The following is a 19,268-nucleotide window of genomic DNA, read 5'->3' as shown; positions in this document are numbered from 1 at the left end:
AGGCTGAAGCACAAGAATTGCTTGAACCCAGGAGTGGAAGGTTGCAGTGAGCTGAGATACACCACTGCACTCCAGCCTGGGGGACAGACTCACAAGAATGTATCATCTGGAAATAGTTAAGGTTATGCACATAATTGCCTGAAAGGACCTTACAGAGTTTCAACTGAAAATGGAAACAACCTAGCCATTCAATCCCTGATTGGATGTAAAAATTAGATATTAAGATTTAATTTAAAACAATGTAGCATAAATTGTTAACATGTAAATATTTTGACCCAGCTGTGAACAATGGTTGGCTTTATTTATCCATCTACAAGGGAACATGCTGCTTGTGTAATAAGGGGGAAAATGTCTAAATTATTGCTCTCCAATAGAAGTCTTAGGCAAGTGCCATACATAATTTATATTTTAATAGTTACATTTTAACAAGTAAGAGGAAATGGTACATTTTGACTCACTATATTCAGAATATCATTTTAACACATCAGTCTAAAATATTAATGAGATATTTTATACATCCTCTTTTTTTATACTAAATCTTAGAAGTCCAGTGTGTATTTTCCACTTGTGCACATATCCATTTGGACTTGCCAGATTTTTTTTTTTTTTTTTAATTTTTTTGAGACGGAGTTTCACTCTTTTTTGCCCAGGCTGGAGTGCAATGGCGTGATCTCTGCTCACCGCAAACTCTGCCTCCCGGGTTGAAGCAATACTTCCTGCCTCAGCCTCCCAAGTAGCTGGGATTACAGGCGCACGCCACCATGCCTGGCTGATTTTGTATTTTAATAGAGATGGGGTTTCACCATGCTGGCCGGTCTGGTTTCGAACACCTGACCTCAGGTGATCTGCCTGACTCAGCCTCCCAGAGTGCTGGGATTACAGGGGTGAGCCACCGCGCCCTGCCTATTTTTTATTTTTGTGTGTTTATTTTTATGTGTATAAATATAAGGAGTGCAAGTATAGTTTTGTTACATGGGTATATTGTGTAGTGTGAAGTCTGGGCTTGTAGTGTAACCATCACCCAATCGTGTACATTGTACCCATTAAGTAACTTCTCATCCCTCACTGGGTTCCCACCCTCCCAGTCTCCAGTGTTTATTATTCCATGCTGGCCACATGTCAAGTGCTCAGAAGCCAGAAGTGGCTGGTGGACAGTGGAGGGTCAATTATTATTAACTCATAGAGAGAAGGCATAAAGTGGAAGTAGCTGGGAGGTTCTGGTGTGCACTATTGCTTTCCTCCTTGTCCAGGTCACTCTATGATCCCTGCTCTCCCTGATTCACCCCCCTTCCCAGTAGACTCCTCCCTCCCTGACCCACACCCGGTAGGGATACCTGGGGAATGGGCACTGTCTTGTAGCTTGGAGGCTGGGGGTGGTGGGGGGAAGACATGGCATGAAATCTGGGACCTTGCCCTTTCTTCAGGAAGGGGCCATCAAAGTAGAGGATGTTCATCTCCAGGAAATGGGATCTGCCCCAGGGTGGCTGTGCAGTGGCACCTTTGCATCAATGATCCTGGCATGGATTGGCACGCGGGCAGTGAGGGTGGGGCAAGTGGTGTTGGGTCACGGTTCTGGTTTTTCTTCCTGGGAGCTGGAATAACCAAGGAACACAAGATGGAGTTTGGACAGAGCAGACAGGAACACACTAGAAGTGAGGCCTTGTGCTGATCTACTCCTGACTATGCCGGCAGAGTCCTGGCTTGTGCTTCAGGGTGATCCTTCCCATCCCTCACCTCCCAGAACACCAGAACATTGGGAGGTTCCTGAGAGCAGGAAGTGGGAATGGGCTCCTGGGTAAGAGAAATCTCCTTTCAGGAGGTTTCAAATGCAGCCATGCCTGGGGATAGAGCTTTAATGGGGGAGGCAGTAATGTGAGTCTTAGCTCCAAGAGTCTTAGGTTAACCGGCTCCCAGACCCTTCCTACCCCACCCTGCTCCACATGTACATCCTCAGCTGCAGACACCTGCACAGGTCAGGCAGCATCACCTCATATGGAAAATCACATGCTCCAAGGTCTGCCAGAAATGGGCTCAAATAACCACTTAGAAGTTGTGAGAGGCTGGGTGTGGGGTGCAACGGTTCGTGCTTGTAATCCCACACTTTGGGAGGCTGAAGCAGGAAGATTGCTTGAAGCTAGGAGTTCAAGAGCAGCCTGGGCAACAAAGCGAGATGCCATCTCTACTAAAAATGTGTGTGTGTGTGTGTGTGTGTGTGTGTGTGTGTATTTTTTTTTTTTTTAGGACGGAGTCTCGCTCTGTCACCCAGGCTGGAGTGCAGTGGCATGATCTCGGCTCACTGCAAGCTCCGCCTCCCGGGTTCACGCCATTTTCCTGCCTCAACCTCCCGAGTAGCTGGGACTACAGGCGCCCACCACCACGCCTGGCTAATTTTTTTTTTTAAATATTTTTAGTAGAGACAGGGTTTCACCGTGTTAGCCAGGATGGCCTCGATCTCCTGACCTCGTGATCTGCCCGCCTCAGCCTCCCAAAGTGCTGGGATTACAGGCGTGAGCCACTGCACCCAGCCTATGTATTTATTTTTAATAAACCAGGCATGGTGGTGCCCACCTGTGGCCCCAGCTACTTGGGAGACTGAGGCCGGGGAGGATCACTTCAGCCCGGGAAGTTGAGGCTGCAGTGAGCCATGATAGCACCACTACACTCCAGCCTGGGTGACAGCAATGCCGTGTCTCAAAAAAAAAAAAAGCTGTGAGATGTGAGAGTGAGTAAAATAATTCACTCTGTCTGAGTCTCCGTTTCTCGTTCTTTAAAATAGGGGCAATCAGGGCAGCCTCCTTGCGAGTTTGCTTTGAGTTTCAAGGGCATAAATGTATGTTGTCCTCAGTACAGTGCTTGGCACGCAGCGGAGCCCAGTGAATGAGAACTGTTGAATGAGGAGGTGTACTGGAGGGATGGGGTAGGAGGGGATTAGGGAGCCTGTTTCTCTGACTCTTGAGCTAAGACTCACTTTAGTGCCTTCCCCATTAGAGATCTACCCCCAGGGATGATCTAATTCTGCACACAGCTTGGCGGTCAGTGGTGGCTGGAGCACCTGGGTGCTGGTTGCCCTCATGTGACCCCTTCTTGTTTTCTCTGCTCCCTTGTAGTGACAGTCTAGCCAAGCTAGAGCTATAGAAGTAAAACCTTCACCTGCACAGGATCTCTCTGAGAGGATCCCACTGTTATGTGGGAGGCTGGCCTCCAGCTTGGAGCTTCAGTGTCACTGGAAATAGGCCGATCTCCGGTAGGGTGGGAGTGATCCTTATCGCTCATCTCCTGCTCAGCTGGGGAGGCTTAAGCATCAGGAAGCAGCTGTTGGAGAGCGAGTTCTGTTTTTTGAGAGGGTCCCGATCTCCCTGTGCCCCCTGATGTCAGGTTAATAAAGCTTGCCCACTTCCTCCGCCCAGGCAACTTAGAATAAAACAAGGACCTAATAAACGTGTCTGGCTTGGGGGTGATTTTGAGGGAGGAAGAGAGAGAACAGACATCAGTGGGAGATTTTCACGCAAGAGAGGCAGAGTACGGATGGAGACCAGTTCTCACTCAGTCCTCAGTTGGCATCTTATGCTGGGATGTGGCTGCCGAACCCAGAGAACTAGATAGTCTTAAGCTGGTTTTGAAATGAATGCTTTTTCTTTAAGCCTTTGATACTTTGGGTTTTTTTTTTTTTTTCGCTGTTGTTGTTTGTTTGTTTGTTTTAAAAAGAAAAAGGCCAGGTGCGGTGGCTCACACCTGTAATCCCAGCACTTTGGGAGGCTGAGGCGGGTGGATTGCTTGAGGTCAGGAGTTCAAGACCAGCCTGGTCAACATGGGGAAACCCCGTCTTTACTGAAAATATAAAAATTAACTGGCCGTCATGGTGTGCACCTGTAATCCCAGCTACTTGGGAGGCTGAGGCAGGAGAATTGCTTGAACCTAGGAGTTGGAGGTTGCAGTGAGCTGAGATGGTGCCACTACACTCCAGCCTGGGCGATAGAGCAAAACTCCATCTCAAAAATAAATAAATAAATAAATAAACAAAAAGAAAAAGAGGCTGTTTTCCTCTCAAGGCTAACATAACTTCTTAATTTCTCCATGTGCCCTTTTAGTCTTTATTCACAGATGCATATTTGTGTAGAGTTGTAACCACTATACATAAACAAGTATATGTTCTGCCTGTTTTTCTATTTATTTTAAATTTTTATTTATTTTTTTTGAGACAGAGTCTCACTCTATTGCCCAAGCTGGAGTGCAATGGCGTGATCTCAGCTCACTGCAACCTCCGCCTCCCGGGTTCAAGAGATTCTCCTGCCTCAGCCTCCCGTGTAGCTGGGATTACAGGCACGCGCCACAACACCTGGCTAATTTGTGTGTGTGTGTTTTTTTTTTTTTTTGGAGACGAAGTCTTGCTCTTGTCCCCCAGGCTGGAGTGCAATGGCGCGACCTTGGCTCACAGCAACCTCCGCCTCCCGGGTTCAAGTGATTCTCCTGCCTCCGCCTCCCAAGTAGCTGGGATTACAGGCGCCTGCCACCACACCTGGCTAATTTTTGTATTTTTAGTAGAGATGGGGTTTCACCATGTTGGCCAGGCTGGTCTTGAACTCCTGACCTCGGGTGATCTGCCCACCTCGGCCTCCCAAAGTGCTGGGATTACAGGTGTGAGCCACGGCGCTTGGCCTTGTGTATTTTTTTTTTTTTTTTTTTTTTTTGAGACGGAGTCTTGCTCTTTCGCCCAGGCCAGACTGCAGTGGCGCTATCTCGGCTCACTGCAAGCTCCGCCTCCCGGGTTCACGCCATTCTCCTGCCTCAGCCTCCCGAGTAGCTGGGACTACAGGCCCCCCTCACCGCGCCTGGCTAATTTTTTGTATTTTAGTAGAGATGGGGTTTCACCATGTTAGCCAGGATGGTCTCTATCTCCTGACCTTGTGATCCACCCTCCTCGGCCTCCCAAAGTGCTGGGATTACAGGCGTGAGCCACCGTGCCCAGCCGTGTATTTTTTTAAAAGTAGAGACGGGGTTTCAACAAGTTGGCCAGGCTGGTACTGCACTCCTGACCTTCGCCTTGGCCTCTGTTCTGCCTTTTGTTTGCACTTCCATTTAATGCCATTTGGTAAACATTTGGTCCATGTTGTCTATGGTCTTCATAGTTCCCACTTTCCATGACTGCTGAATGGTGCTCTGAGTTAATGGCTCCCAGCTTTCTTAGCCATTCCATTCCTCCATCACTGGGCATTAGGCTGTCTGTCTCCAGTCTTTTTTTTTTTTTTTTTTTGAGATGGAGTCTCCCTCTGTTGCCCAGGCTGGAGTGCAATGGCGTGATCTCGGCTCACTGCAACCTCTGCCTCCCAGGTTCAAGCCATTCTCCTGCCTCAGCCTCCTGAGTAGCTGGGATTACAGGCGCACACCACCAGGCCCAGCTAATTTTATTTTTTTATGTATTTTTTAATTTTTTTTTTTTTTGTATTTTTAGTAGAGACAGGGTTTCGCCATATTGGTCAGGCTGGTCTCAAACTCCTGACGTCGTGGTCCACCCGCCTCGGCCTCCCAAAGTGCTGGGATTACAGGCGTGAGCCACTGCGACTAGCCTGTCTCCAGTCTTTCGCTATTATGAATAAGGCTTCAACAAATACGTGTGTGACTTTTTTCGCCTTTGAAATAGTTCCACAGGGTTAAGTTCTAGGAGGTAAATCATATTCATTTAAATCACATTCATTTTAAAGCCATTATTTGAGGAAACTGAATCATATTCATTTTAAAACCATCATTCTTTTTTTTTTTTTTTTGGAGATGGAGTTTCACTCTTGTCGCCTGGGCTGGAGTGCAATGGCATGATCTCAGTGTGCTGCAACCTCTGCCTCCCAGGTTCAAGCAGTTCTCCTGCCTCAGCCTCCCTAGTAGCTGGGATTACAGGCACCCGCCACCATGCCTGGCTAATTTCTTTGTATTATTAGTTGAGATGGGGTTTCACCATGTTGGCCAGGCTGGTCTCAAACTCCTGACCTCAGGTGATCCACCTACCTCAGCCTCCCAAAGTGCTGGGATTACAGGCATGAGCCACCACACCTGGCCAAAACCATCATTTATTTTAAAGCCATTATTTGAAGAAATTTTGCTGGAGTTTCATGTACCGCAAGACCACCCCACCCTGGGACCATTTTGACTCTGAGCAGCTCTTGGATCAGAGTTTTGTAATGTTCCCCCTGCCTGGTGGCACCTAGTACCAATTGCTCAGTGGGAGGAAGGTCCTTCCCTCTTCTCTTTCCCAGCTCTTAATTTGGGCAAGATGGTAGCAAACATCAGAAGGTTGTCCTAGTGCCTGGCGGTGAGCCCATTGAGGTGTTATCTGGGGAAGATCTTTGGGGTGGGAGTCAAGAGACTTGGGCTCCAGCACCGCCCGGCTCCCTTGTGAGTTCTGTGGCCTTTGGCAAGTCACCTCTCCTGGTCCCAACAGCCTAATCAAGACCACTGGGTTGGATCCTCTCCCAGATGTCTACCATCTCTCAATCTCAGTGGGAGTCATGTGACACAGTGGGTGCTGCATTTTAGCACCCCAAGGAGTACATAAGAAAATCCACTGGGGCCAGGCGCAATGGCTCAAGCCTGTAATCCCAGCACTTTGGGAGGCCGAGGCAGGTGGATCCCCTGAGGTCAGGAGTTTGAGACCAACTTGGCCAACATGGTGGAACCCCGTCTCTACTAAAAAAAATACAAAAATTAGCCGGGTGTGGTAGCAGGTGCCTGTAATCCCAGCTACTCAGGAGGCTAAGGCAGGAGAATTGCCTGAATCTGGGAGGTGGAGGTACAGTGAGCCAAGAGTGCACCATTACATTCCAGCATGGGCAACAAGAGCGAAACTCTGTCTCAAAAAAAAGAAAGAAAAAGAAAATCCACTGGGATTTAGAAAGAACACACCAAAACTTGTGCACATGCGTGTGTGTGTGTGGTGTGTGTGTGTAAACTAAAACTTACTAATGCGTGGAATGACAATAGACATGAATATAACCTATAAAAATATATATGTGTGTAGATATATACACATATATGTATATACACAAATTACATATTCAGTGTTTGTCCTGTGATGCCCCCTACTTTTGATAGTACATTGCTGTTTAAGTGAATGGAGCCCTGGGGTGGGAATTAAACTCTGGCTTCAATCCATGACCTAGGGCAAGTCCCTTAATTTGGTCTTTCCATCTTGAAAGTATGATCCCTCCACACCCAGGTATTTTAAGGAGATATTTGACACAGATACATAAATGGTACAGGAGTCCTGATGGTGACATTTCATGTTCCCATCCTGGGTTTGTTTTTTTGTTTCTTTGTTTGTTTTTTTTTGAGACAGAATCTTGCTCTGTCACCCAGGCTGGAATGCAGTGGCGCGATCTCAGCTCACTGCAACCTCCACCTCCTGGGTTCAAGCGATTCTCCCTGCCTCAGCCTCCTGAATAACTGGGACTACAGGTGCACACCACCATGCCTGGCTGATTTCTGTGTTTTTAGTGGAGATGGGGTTTCACCATGTTGGCCAGGCTGGTCTCGAACTCCTGACCTCAGGAGATCCACCCGCCTCAGCCTCCCAAAGTGCTGGGATTACAGGTGTGAGCCACCACGCCCGGCCTTGTGTTTGGTTTTTGATTGTGGTTACTTAGGCTCAGAATATTACAGCAGTGAGCCTTAACCTCCTTGCGCACGCAGCACACTTCCAGATGCAAGGGCTTTTGAGCAGGGCACATGAAGGAGTTAAAAGATCCCCAAGAATACTAAAGTCAGCTAAAATCACAACACAGTCGGCATTGAAGTCCTGCCTGGAACATGTAACCACGTGTATCTAAGCGGTCACTGTTCTCGCCCATTCACTTAGCTGCCCTCAGCCCTGCCACAGTTTGAATGAAACACAGTCTTCCGCCTTCCCTGTGCTTTCCTATCTTTGCAGGGTAAGGCTGGTGAGTGTTCCAGAAAGTACTGGATTTTTCTCTGGTGACTAAAGCCAGAGTCCCTCACCTCTTAGAGTTGTGGCCCATGTCCCAGTGAGCCTCTTGCACAACCCCCTCCAGCGTGCTGTTCCATCTGACAAGCCTTGTGTAGCAGAATGCCACCTGTGTTTCGGCAAAGTGAAGTTCCGCCTAGGGGTAGGATGTCAGCCCCTCCTGTGAGAAGGGGCCGTGGCCTGCCAGGCAAAACCTGGGAAAGGATGGCCAGGACCAGAGGCTGCCCCTGGAAGGCCTGGAGTCCCATTTGATCCTGTCTTTTCTCTCCTCCCTGGTCTGGGCCCTCCACAATCCCGGGTGTCTCTACCTCCAAAACATGGCCTAAATGTCTCCCACTGTGTCCCCCTTCGCCAGACCCACATCCTGGTCTCCATCCTCTTTGACCTGCATTTCTGCAACAGCCTCCTGACTGAATTCCAGCTCCCCTCCTTCATTCCTCCAATGCCAGGACCTCCGGGAGCTTCCAGATACACAGATTGAATCACTCGCCTGCTTACAAACAGCCGCCGGTTTCCTTGTACACCTATAATGACCTCCAAACTCCTTACCTGGGCTGGGTGCGGTGGCTCATGCCTGTAATGCCAGAACTTTGGGAGGCCAAGGCGGGTGGATTGCTTGATGCCAGGAGTTCGAGACCAGCCTGGCCGACGTGGTGAAACCCCATCTCTAAAAACATAAAAAAATCGGCCAGGAGCAGTGGCTCCTGTAATCCCAGCACTTTGGGAGGCCGAGGCGGGCAGATCACCTGAAGTCAGGAGTTCAGGACCAGCCTAGCCAACATGGTGAAACCTGGTCTCTCCAAAAAATTCAAAAATTAACTGGGCATGATGGCAGGTGCCTGTAATAAAAACTAAAAACAAAACAGAACTCTTTATGTGGCCTGGTAGGGAGGGCTCTATGTAACCTGGGCCCTGGCTGCATGGATTTTTATTCTATTCCATAAATGCCACAAGCCTGTTCCTATACCCCGGCGTTTGCACGCGCCGTTCCCTCTGCCTGGGTCGCTTCTGACCCGGCTGGTTCCTTCTCATCATTTGGTTCTCAACTCATGATGCTCCTTCCTCAAGAGGGGCCTCCCCCAGACCCCCTGACTCCCACACCCACTCATACCACCCCTTTCCCTCCTTATACTGAGGAATATGAGATACCATTTATTTTATTTATAGGTTTACACCTCCATTCCCCACCCCCACCCCCCACACTCACACTACACACGTGCCCTGGGAAAACAGCGTGCTATTTTCACTGCTCTATCTCCAGGGCCTAGAAGAGTTTGTGAATATCAGTGGGTCTGCAGGAAGTCATGGAGTGAGTGACTGGATGATGAGTAATGGAACAAAGCCTCTTGTAGCCGATCCAGGTCACAACTAAAGTCATCGTGCACTAAAAGCCCTCTGCTATTCGGCCACATTGCCTGGACCTGGCATCGGGTGGTTGGTTAGAACAGCTAGGGGAAGGCCCTGCAGAGGGCATGCTGCCCAGCAGCAGTGGCGGAGGCAGTGGCAGTGGGCATTGAGGCATGTTGTGTACCCTGTATACCGGGGTGAACCGCAGGGCAGCTTCAGAGAGCGAGGCCTGCCTAGCTGCCCCATGAGAGCTCAGGTCTGGCGCCTGCCTCAAGCCAAGCTGCCAGGGACAGGCCACTGCCCGGTCACTTGGAGTGAGAAGTGTTGGTCCCGTCTGTCCTTCTGCTCTGGGTCTGCTGGGCTGGCCAAGCTGGGAGGGCCAGGGAGGATAGGCGAGGGGTCCAGGCAAGGGTGGTCTTCCGTAGTCTCAGGAACAGGGCTGAACTAAAGGTGTGGTTGCTGTGACCCAAGCAGGGGCCTGACCTTCTGGGGAGGGCTCCTCGTTCCCACCTTAAAGGAAGGTTCCGTGGTCAGTGGGCTGAGGGTAGAGGAATCTGTTCCTCCGGAGGCTCAGGAGAGCTAGGGAGGGCTGTGAGCTGTGATCCATTTTCCCTCTCCCTGCCAAGAAAGTGGGATGTGGTTTCTGGGGTGGGGTGGGGGTGTCCCGCCCAAGGCAGGCTATGGGGAGTGCCTGCCCCACGTTGGGCAGCCTATTTTAGCCACTTCCCCAGAGCTGAGTCACCATGCTTCTGAAAGCCCCGCCCAAAGCCACAATGCCCTGTGGCCTCCCAAACCATAGCTGCCCCCAGGACCTGCCCAGGCCTCTGGCGAGACTCCCACCACCTACTTTCTCTTAAACTCTATGATCCAGCTCGTCACCTCCAAACTGTTCTCTGTTAGAAGCTCAGAGTGACTCAAGGTCACTCAAGGCTGGTGAAACCAAGCTGTTGCTGACCCTCAATCCTGCTGGGTGGCCTGTCTAGTCTGAGCTCCAGACACCCAGGCCTCATCCCCAGTGTGGACTGCCAGGTACTGCAGCCCCCTCCTCGCTGGGGCAGTGGGACAGATGCGTGACTCCCTCTAGGCCCCAACTCTCTCAGGACCCTTCCTTGCTGGTTATTGAAGATGGCTTTCTACAAGCCACAAAGTCTCGTTCCCAACCCCCCAGGAAGCGAGACCGTGGCAGCAGGCAGCACTGGGTAGACCTGTCCCTGTCTTTCTGGGGTGTGGGGTTGAACAAGATCCTGGGGACCCCAGGGCTAGCCCAGGATGGCCGTGATTTCAGCTGAGTTTCCCTGCTGTCCCCTCTGACCTACCTCAATAGTTCTACCCGCAAGGATGTGCTGGGTGGTGTGGCTAATGGGATGCGGGGAGCTGTCCTCCCCTGTAGCCATCATGGCCAGGATATTTGGTCCCTTTGGGCAGCCACAGTGACCTGCAGCTTCTCTGGTGAGTCCTGGGGAGCCGGGTCTGTGGTTTCCCTTTCTTTCCTCTCTAATGAGCGTATAAGATCGGGAAACCACAGGACCTGACATCACTCACAGGGTCTGGGGGTTCCTGCCTTGGCGTTGAAACCCTTAACGCAGCTCTGGGGGCTCGTGCCGCCATGTTCTCACCCGGTTCTGACCATCCACACCCGCCTCCCTGCTTCTCTGTCTTTGTTGTTTACCTGGTGAGCATACCTGCTCTATCTTCACCTGTGTGTTCTCACTCAAGGCTGCTGTTTCTCAACTGGGGCAGTTTTGCCTCCTGGGGGACATTGGGCAATATCTTGAGACAGTTTTGCTTGTTGTGACTGGGGGGTGGATGCTACTGGCATCTAATGGGTAGAGACCAGGGATGCTGCTGAATATCCTACAGTGCACAGGGCAGGTCCACCTCCCGATGAGAAATTATCTGGCCCAAATAGCAACAGTGTGGAACCTGCTCTAGGATTACACAAGAACCTTCTTGAAGCAGCTGTTGGGTACCCCCTTCTCTGTACCCTGCCGGCCAGCAGTGGGGAGGAGCACTCAGTGGTCGGTGGTCACTGACCAGCAATGCCGCCGCCAGAGCTGGAGAAGGGCCTGGAGTGGAGCGGAGAGAGCTCTGGACTCAAAGACCCAGTTTCTAGCCCAGCTCTGTTGCTTTGGGCTAAAAACCTGGATAAATCACTTTCCTTCAATAAACTTGTTTCCTCATCCATAAAGTGAAAGTGCTGCACTGAATATCCCCTCCAGTTCTTTGAGATTCCTGGATGCTGTGCGTAGAGCCAGGAGTCGGGGTGCAGGCAGGTGGAAGATGGGGTCCCCTCCGTTCCTGACTGGTGTCCCTGCTGGTGGCAGTAGAAGCCTGAAGGATTTGCCAGGAACGAGAGTTCGTTTGAAGCTTGGCCTTTTTCCCTTCTATGCCCAACGTGACTGAGGCAGAGTCTACCTTCTCTTTTTCTTTTTCTTTTCTTCTGCTGCTTCTTTTTCTCTTTCTTTCCTTCCTTGCTTTTCTTTTCCTTTCTTCCTTTCTTCTCTTCCTTTCCTTTCCTTCTTTCCTTTCTTTTTCTTTCTCTCTTTCTTTTTTTCTTTCCTTATTTCCTTTCCTTCCTTCCTTTCCTTCCCCTCCCTTCCTCCCTCCCTTCCTCCCTCCCTCCCTTCCTCCCTTCCTGTTTTCTTCAGAGTTTTGCCTAGGAGCCCATGGCTGGCCAAGAGGGTCATATATGATATTCAGGAGTCAGCAAACTACAGTCCATGGGCCAAACCCAGCCTGCGTTTGCTTTTGTAAATAAAGATGTGGCTTTTTGGTGGTTTTTTTTCTTTTACTGGTTTATTACAAAAGATACGACTCAGGAACAGCCAAACGGAAGAGCTGCATGAGGATGCGTGGGGTCAAGTGTTGGGGTGGGGGGCAGGGCACGCACCACCTTCCTGGCACCTCGATCTGCTCACCAACCCAGAAGTTGTCTGTAAATAAAATGTTATTGGAACATAGCCATGCCTACTTGTTTACATGTTGCTATGGCTCCTTTCTTTCTTTTTTTGATTTTGTGTAGAGATGGGGTCTCACCGTGTTGCCCAGGCTGGTCTGGAACTCCTGGGCTCAACTGATCCTCCTGCCGTAGCCTCCCAGAGTGCTGGGATTACAGTTGTGACCCACTGTGCCCGGCCAACGGCTAGTTTTATACTAAGAAGACAGTTGAGTAGCTGTGACAAAAACCCTATCAGCCACAAGGCCGAGAATATTTACTCTCTGGCCCTTTGCAAAAAGTGTTTGCTGACCTTTGGTCTAGCGGTTCAATGTCTAATTGTTTAGAGGTTGAGGTGGGGCAGGAGGGTGGGGCCCAGAGATAATCCAAGTTAGAGTTAGGGGAAGGTCACTTTCCTAAGGGTAGGGAGGAGAGAGAGCTGACCTATGACCCAGAGTAGAGTATCATCTCAAGGCATCCCTCACGTCCTCGCCCACGTCACTGTGTGGCAAGTCTGCCAGGTGCCTGGCTCCCCCTCCCTGCCCGAGAGAACTTTGTGTTTGCTGGAATGATAAGCGGTATGGCGTGGGCACTGGGAGGGGGGACATTGCTGGTGGGGGAAGCCATGAGGCTGGGCAGCAGAGGCTTGAGAGAACAGGGAAGCGGATGGGGGTGAGGATGCAGAGAGGTCAGGCTGGGAGCCCTGGAGCCAGGCTGTGGGCAGAAGGGGAGGAGAGGAGGGAGGTGCTGGACTTCCAGTGGGTGCTTGGAGGCGGTTGGAGGCGGACCATGTGTCACACCCTGCTGGACCAGACTCGGTGGTAAACAGACCTGTTAAAACCCTCTGGATGGACCAGGCGCGGTGGCTCACGCTGATCCCACGTCCTGATCCCAGCACTGGGAGGCCGAGGTGGGTGGATCACCTGAGGTCAGGAGTTCGAGACCAGCCTGACCAACATGGTGAAACTCCATCTCTATCTCTACTAAAATTACAAAAAAAAAAAAAAAATAGCTGGACGTGGTGGTGTGCACCTGTAAATCTCAGCTACTCAGGAGACTGAGGCAAGAGAATCGCTAGAACCCGGGAGGCAGAAGTTGCAGTGAGCCAAGATCATGCCATTACACTCCGGCCTGGGGGACAGGGCGAGAATCTGCCTCAAAACCCTAGAAGTTTGTACTGCAGTGGGAAGATGAGAGTCCAGCCAGCAGGGACAGAATAATGTAGCCAGTATCTGCTGGAAGAGGGGACATCTCCCAAAGTGCCGTGGGGGGCAGGTGGTGGCTAAAGGTTTCCTGGGAGTAGTGATGTGTCCCAGCTGAGCCCTGAAGGATGCTGGGTGTGGCAGGGGTTGCATTGGGGAACTGTTTGTATCCACTGCAGCTCAGGGGATAGATCAGGGTACAAAAGTAGGGGACACTGAGGAGCGAGGTGGGGACTAGTCATTGGATCAAGGGGTCTGCACTGGGTAGGGCGTCATGTGGATGGGTTTTGTTTTAGCCAAGAGGTGAAGGATGGACAGGAGGGAGACCAACAGGGAGACCTGTCAGGCTGATGTCAGGGGCCAGGTGGGGTGTGGTGGGCTTGTGTGACGCAGCGGCAGGCATGCGGAGGAAGCACCCAGCATCTGAGTTTTGCAGTGGGAAGAGTGGGTCTGGACTGGGGGTGCCTCTCAGAACTGTGCTGCTGGCTGGACTGGGAGGCAGGCAGGTACCTGGTGTCCAAGCATCACCTCTCACCCACCATACTTTGTTAAATCCCTGCACCCATCTCTCCCCAACCTGCCCAGCTCTGCTGGGCTTAGTATTTGGGGCAAGCCCCTCTAGGGAAGAGAGGGGCTGGTTTGGCCCCAATGCTGAACTTCAACTTGGCCCTTGTCAGGAGCTGTGAGAGTGGTGCCTCCAGGCTCCTGGGCTCTACCTCTGCTGTTTTTTGGATTTCTGGTGAATCACCTAGGAATCAGTCTGCAGATCCTGGGGGGACGAAGTCATTTAGGGTCCAGTCCCTGCCTCCCACTCCCCTAATGATGAAAGAAACTGGAAGTTGCCCAATCTTGATCTCCCCGAGACACCAGAAGGTGGACCCTCAGCAAAGAGCCTGGGGCTCCACAGTGGAGACGTCACAGGCGGGATCCTCATTTATGGGATACCAAGCGAAGGCTGAAAGGCTGGGGAGCTGGTTCTGTGGGTCCCAGCAGCCCCACCCCAGTTCTGATTCAGAAAGAGGACTGTGCCGCCCACGCAGGGGGAGGAGCTGGTCAGCCTCTGTCTCCCTGAGCCCGTCCTGTCCTTTCCCTTCTCTCTCTGAGGACCAGGACTCAGGGTGGGGTGTCCACTAACTCCACAGGGATCGAGGTTAGACAGCAGGAAGAACTTACAGCACATCTCCAGGCTGACTGTTCATAGGAGCCAACTCATAGACTCCATCTCTTCCCTGGCTTGCTGCCTGGAATTGCTGGATTTACCTTCGCGTCCTTAAATGTGGTCATGTTTACTCTGGCAGCATCCTGGCTTGCAGGGGCAGGGGAGGCATTGTCTTCTGCAAGAAAGGTTCTGTCTCTCTCAAGTTTCAGGGAAAGTGTGTCCGAGGCTACTGGAACTCTAACCAGATTTGCAAAATCACTCCTCTACTCTGAATGCCTGCGGATGAAGAAACAGGCAGGGTTATACCATGGATTGCTGGCTTATTTCACAGCATTTAACTTTGGTAGGAGCGCTGGGGTTTAAATGACAGTCCCCTGGCAAAGAGGCTTTTGTGCCGTGTGGCCAGCCCGCGTTAATCCTTTGCCTCTCATTCTCTGCTTGCAGCCTTATGATCTCCTCATTGCGTCCCCCTCTGCCCACTGGACTTGGACTTCAGATCTGACCCCAGACCTGCCGGCTACCTCGGGAGGGCCCACCTCCCCGCCCATCCAGCAAGATGCCAATCCTCAAGCAACTGGTGTCCAGCTCGGTGCACTCCAAGCGCCGTTCCCGAGCGGACCTCACGGCCGAGATGATCAGCGCCCCGCTGGGCGACTTCCGCCACACCATGCACGTTGGCCGGGCCGGAGACGCCTTTGGGGACACCTCCTTCCTCAATAGCAAGGCTGGCGAGCCCGACGGCGAGTCCTTGGACGAACAGCCCTCTTCTTCATCTTCCAAACGCAGTCTCCTGTCCAGGAAGTTCCGGGGCAGCAAGCGGTCACAGTCGGTGACCAGGGGGGAGCGGGAGCAGCGTGACATGCTGGGCTCCCTGCGGGACTCGGCCCTGTTTGTCAAGAATGCCATGTCCCTGCCCCAGCTCAATGAGAAGGAGGCCGCGGAGAAGGGCACCAGTAAGCTGCCCAAGAGCCTGTCATCCAGCCCCGTGAAGAAGGCCAATGACGGGGAGGGCGGCGATGAGGAGGCGGGCACGGAGGAGGCAGTGCCCCGTCGGAATGGGGCCGCGGGTCCACATTCCCCTGACCCCCTCCTCGATGAGCAGGCCTTTGGGGATCTGACAGATCTGCCTGTCGTGCCCAAGGCCACGTACGGGCTGAAGCATGCGGAGTCCATCATGTCCTTCCACATCGACCTGGGGCCCTCCATGCTGGGTGACGTCCTCAGCATCATGGACAAGGAGGAGTGGGACCCCGAGGAGGGGGAGGGTGGTTACCATGGCGATGAGGGCGCCGCTGGCACCATCACCCAGGCTCCCCCGTACGCCGTGGCGGCCCCTCCCCTGGCAAGGCAGGAAGGCAAGGCTGGCCCAGACTTGCCCTCCCTCCCCTCCCATGCTCTGGAGGATGAGGGGTGGGCAGCAGCGGCCCCCAGCCCCGGCTCAGCCCGCAGCATGGGCAGCCACACCACACGGGACAGCAGCTCCCTCTCCAGCTGCACCTCAGGCATCCTGGAGGAGCGCAGCCCTGCCTTCCGGGGGCCGGACAGGGCCCGGGCTGCTGTCTCAAGACAGCCAGACAAGGAGTTCTCCTTCATGGATGAGGAGGAGGAGGATGAAATCCGTGTGTGAGGCGGACAGTGGGTGGCCACCGGGAGCTCTTGGCTGCATCTTCTCCCTGCCCCCACCCCACTATGACCTTTGACCCTACGGCGCAGGGGCAGCCAGGACCCTTGATTCAGACCATGGACCCTGGACCTTGTAGATGAGGGACACTGGCCTGGCCCTCGGGTCTTCGGAGGACGTAGGGGGCTGGCATGGGTGCCGACTGGCTGCCTGACTTCATCATGCTCCCTGCACTTAGGCTGCGTGGGACAAGGGCTGTGTTGTCACAGCAGGAATAGGTTTTCCTCTGTTGGCCTCCCTTTCCTCCACCCTGGCCTCAAATGGATGCCAGATGCCAACCCCAGTTCTGGCCACGTACAGCCAGCGGGTCAGCCCAGAGGCAGCCTCAGCTCCAGGGCTAAGGACTCTCGGCTCCCATTTTCTCTGCTGGCGTTTCTGCTGTGCCCAGCAGTGGCTGCTGGGGAAGCAGCTGCAGCAGGAGGGAGACGGTCTTGCCTCTCAGCCCCTCCCTGCCCCACCCCAGCTCCTGCCCTGGAAATCTGGAGCCCCTTGGAGCTGAGCTGGACGGGGGGCCAGCTGCGAGCATGTGCACTAAACGCAGCCCTTTCCAGGGGAAGAGAACAGGATGGAGAATGGAAGGAAAGCCCCCCAGGCTTCGTGAATTGCAAGAAGGGACCCTTCCAGGATGACACTAGGAACAGGGCTAGGGCACTCGCTCAGTCCCTAGGGGCTTGTTTGTTCTTTATTATTGTGTTTAAATCCTTATAGAGCAATATCAGGATGGTGTTAATAGGTCTGCCTCAGAATGAGAATCAATCCTTTTAGAAAACCTTTATACTAAGCCTCCTCTTCAAAATTCACAGTGGCGATTAGCGGACTGGAGTCTGGTGGCGATTAGCGGACTGGAGTCTGGGGACATCCGTGGCAAAGACACCAGCTCAACTTTAGTGCTTCCCAACTTTATTTAGAATGACATGGGGTGGGTGTCTGGTGTGTGTGTTTTCCCTACGCACCTCCCATAGCTATTAACAACTGAGGAAGGCCAGTGCAGAATATTTTTGGAGAACGATTTTTTTTTTAAATAATATATCATTCCTATGGGGGGAAAGCCTTTTTTTTCTTTTTGGCTGAGTTATTCCCTCCCTCCCCTCAATACCCTCAGTACTGACTACTTCCCTTTCTTTTCTCAGGCCTCCCCCCACCGACTTTTGAGGCCAGGGTTGGCCAGATTTAGCAAAACCAAAACAGAGTGCTGAGTTAAACGCAAATTTCAGGTAAACAAAAGATAATTTTCTAGCATTAATATGCCCCACGCAATATTTGGAACACTTATGTGAAAAATGATTTGTTTTTCTGAAATTCACGTTTCTCTCTGAGTCCTGTAACTGTCCCCGAGGGGATTGAGCAGAAGCTCGGGTATGAGCCCTGAGGTTGACTGCCGGTTATTTTTCTGTCCTGGGAACAGCCTGACCCACCTCCCTGTCTCCATGTAGCCAGTGAGGGGAGGGGGAGACACAGAACCAACCACAGCCAGGGGCGTCCCCATGGCGACTGTGGCCCGGCCCCTCCTCTCTTGCCTGACTCTCCTCTCTTGCCTGACTCTAGACACTAACTTAGTTCCAGGTTCGGTGCCCTGTTGGTGCTCCTGTTTCCAATAGCTTAGGTCCCATGGTGGGGGAGGAACCTCAGGGGCTATGCAGCCCCCGCCAGCTGCCCTCGAATCCCGTCCAGGCCAATTCCAGATTCTAAACTGATTTTTTTCATGATATTGTCAAAACAGTGAGGAAACATTAAAAAAAAAGCCCTAAAGCACGCCTGGTGTCTGTCTCTGCTTTTTGGGAGGGCTATTTCAGGATGGGGGTGGGGTCTGGACCCAGGTCCTAGAGCTGTCCAGGGGGGCCTGAGGTGGCTTCTGTCTCTCTGTCCGTGAGGACCCGCCCTTCCTGCGATGCTGTCTGCCTGGGCAGGCCCCTTCAGAGTCTGGGGACTCAGGTGTCCCTAACTGCCATCTCTTGGAAGCCCTTGGCACTTGGTCGCTTAGCTGTTCTGTGCCTCCCTCTCCTGCTCTGTAAAATGGGTATCCTGCCACTCTTAGAGGGTTGAGGCACAGAAACAGTGACATGGGCTTTTTGTGGGGGAGGGGGTTGGTTTTTTGTTTTTTTTTGTTTTTTTTTTTTGTTGTTGTTGTTTTGTTTTTTTTGAGATGGAGTCTCACTCTGTCGCCCAGGTTGGAGTGCAGGGGTGTGATCTCAGCTCACTGCAACCTCCGCTTCCTAGGTGCAAGCGATTCTCCTGCCTCAGCCTCCCAACTAGCTAGGATTACAGGCGTGCGCCACTACACCCAGCTAATTTTTGTATTTTTAGTAGATACTGGGTTTCACCATGTTGGCCAGGTTGGTCTCCAACTCCTGACCTCAAGTGATCCGCCCACCTTGGCTTCCCAAAATGCTGGGATTACAGGTGTGAGCCACCGTGCCGGTCGACATGGGCTTTTTATACAGTTGTGATTAGGATGAGAGTGACTGTGTTCTCCCCAGCCCCCTGGTGTCCTGGTGCACGGAACTGTCACCACCAGAAAGTGGCTGGCCCTGAAGGCAGTTTCTGCATGATGCTGGGAGCGGGGCTACCACCTCCTCTTTCCCCTTTTACCGTTAAGCCTGGAAAATCAGCTTACAAGTGGCAGGTCCTCAGTTCAACCTCACTTCTCAGGGAGATAGAAGCTCCACATCCCCATTTTCCAGATGGAGAAAGATGATCAGATAAGCCTCGAGGCCGCCTTCTCTAATGCCCAGAATTCATTCAAAACTCCTGCCCTTCTCACCCCACCACTCCTGGGCACATCAAAACCTCGGGATATAAAGTCAGGGGGTGAGGGTCTAGTGGCCCCTGAACCCACTGCCCTGCCCCTGCCCTACCACCTCCTTCCCTTGAATCATGTTCCCCTCTTTCTGGACAGCTTCAGAAGGGAGCCCTGGTCTGCGTAGGGCTGGCTCACTGCTTGTTGAAGCCCCCGCTTGCTCTCAGGAAATCTGGGG

General features: G+C 52.3%; 1 protein-coding gene across 2 annotated transcripts in view, besides 9 other annotated features; it reads left to right on the top strand.

Moving 5' to 3' along the window:
* The window catches only part of CDC42EP4 (CDC42 effector protein 4), a 28,378-nt gene extending 10,333 nt beyond the window's left edge, over window positions 1-18,045 (top strand). For both annotated transcript variants that reach the window (NM_012121.5, XM_005257182.3), the window contains exon 2: window positions 15,057-18,045. In NM_012121.5, coding sequence (NP_036253.2) covers window positions 15,169-16,239 — 1,071 coding nt within the window. In that variant the 5' untranslated portion in view covers window positions 15,057-15,168 and the 3' untranslated portion in view covers window positions 16,240-18,045. The remainder of the gene's footprint in view (window positions 1-15,056) is intronic.
* Window positions 9,020-9,901: an enhancer, noted in NCBI's record as "H3K27ac-H3K4me1 hESC enhancer chr17:71287907-71288788 (GRCh37/hg19 assembly coordinates)". NCBI's record gives its function as "activates a minimal SCP1, AML or CMV promoter by ChIP-STARR-seq in naive H9 embryonic stem cells {active_cell/tissue: H9 hESC(naive)}" and the evidence as "EXISTENCE:reporter gene assay evidence [ECO:0000049][PMID:30033119]".
* Window positions 9,684-9,753: an enhancer, noted in NCBI's record as "active region_12697". NCBI's record gives its function as "activates an Ori minimal core promoter by ATAC-STARR-seq in GM12878 lymphoblastoid cells {active_cell/tissue: GM12878}" and the evidence as "EXISTENCE:reporter gene assay evidence [ECO:0000049][PMID:35858748]".
* Window positions 9,885-10,179: an enhancer, noted in NCBI's record as "tiled region #4436; K562 Activating DNase matched - State 5:Enh, and HepG2 Activating non-DNase unmatched - State 14:Gen5'". NCBI's record gives its function as "activates a minimal TATA promoter and a strong SV40 promoter by Sharpr-MPRA in K562 cells, with weaker activation in HepG2 cells {active_cell/tissue: HepG2 | K562}" and the evidence as "EXISTENCE:reporter gene assay evidence [ECO:0000049][PMID:27701403]".
* Window positions 9,885-10,233: a biological region, named in NCBI's record as "Sharpr-MPRA regulatory region 4436".
* Window positions 10,154-10,233: an enhancer, noted in NCBI's record as "active region_12696". NCBI's record gives its function as "activates an Ori minimal core promoter by ATAC-STARR-seq in GM12878 lymphoblastoid cells {active_cell/tissue: GM12878}" and the evidence as "EXISTENCE:reporter gene assay evidence [ECO:0000049][PMID:35858748]".
* Window positions 10,524-10,743: an enhancer, noted in NCBI's record as "active region_12695". NCBI's record gives its function as "activates an Ori minimal core promoter by ATAC-STARR-seq in GM12878 lymphoblastoid cells {active_cell/tissue: GM12878}" and the evidence as "EXISTENCE:reporter gene assay evidence [ECO:0000049][PMID:35858748]".
* Window positions 14,700-15,254: an enhancer, noted in NCBI's record as "H3K27ac-H3K4me1 hESC enhancer chr17:71282554-71283108 (GRCh37/hg19 assembly coordinates)". NCBI's record gives its function as "activates a minimal SCP1, AML or CMV promoter by ChIP-STARR-seq in primed H9 embryonic stem cells {active_cell/tissue: H9 hESC(primed)}" and the evidence as "EXISTENCE:reporter gene assay evidence [ECO:0000049][PMID:30033119]".
* Window positions 15,255-15,810: an enhancer, noted in NCBI's record as "H3K27ac-H3K4me1 hESC enhancer chr17:71281998-71282553 (GRCh37/hg19 assembly coordinates)". NCBI's record gives its function as "activates a minimal SCP1, AML or CMV promoter by ChIP-STARR-seq in primed H9 embryonic stem cells {active_cell/tissue: H9 hESC(primed)}" and the evidence as "EXISTENCE:reporter gene assay evidence [ECO:0000049][PMID:30033119]".
* Window positions 16,366-16,922: an enhancer, noted in NCBI's record as "H3K4me1 hESC enhancer chr17:71280886-71281442 (GRCh37/hg19 assembly coordinates)". NCBI's record gives its function as "activates a minimal SCP1, AML or CMV promoter by ChIP-STARR-seq in primed H9 embryonic stem cells {active_cell/tissue: H9 hESC(primed)}" and the evidence as "EXISTENCE:reporter gene assay evidence [ECO:0000049][PMID:30033119]".
* Window positions 18,046-19,268: the final 1,223 nt, after the last annotated feature.

This window comes from Homo sapiens, chromosome 17 (genome assembly GCF_000001405.40).
Source record: "Homo sapiens chromosome 17, GRCh38.p14 Primary Assembly".
In the NCBI taxonomy this organism is placed as follows: domain Eukaryota; kingdom Metazoa; phylum Chordata; class Mammalia; order Primates; family Hominidae; genus Homo; species Homo sapiens.
Note: the sequence above shows the minus strand (reverse complement) of the source record. Positions and strands in the feature narration are given on the sequence as shown.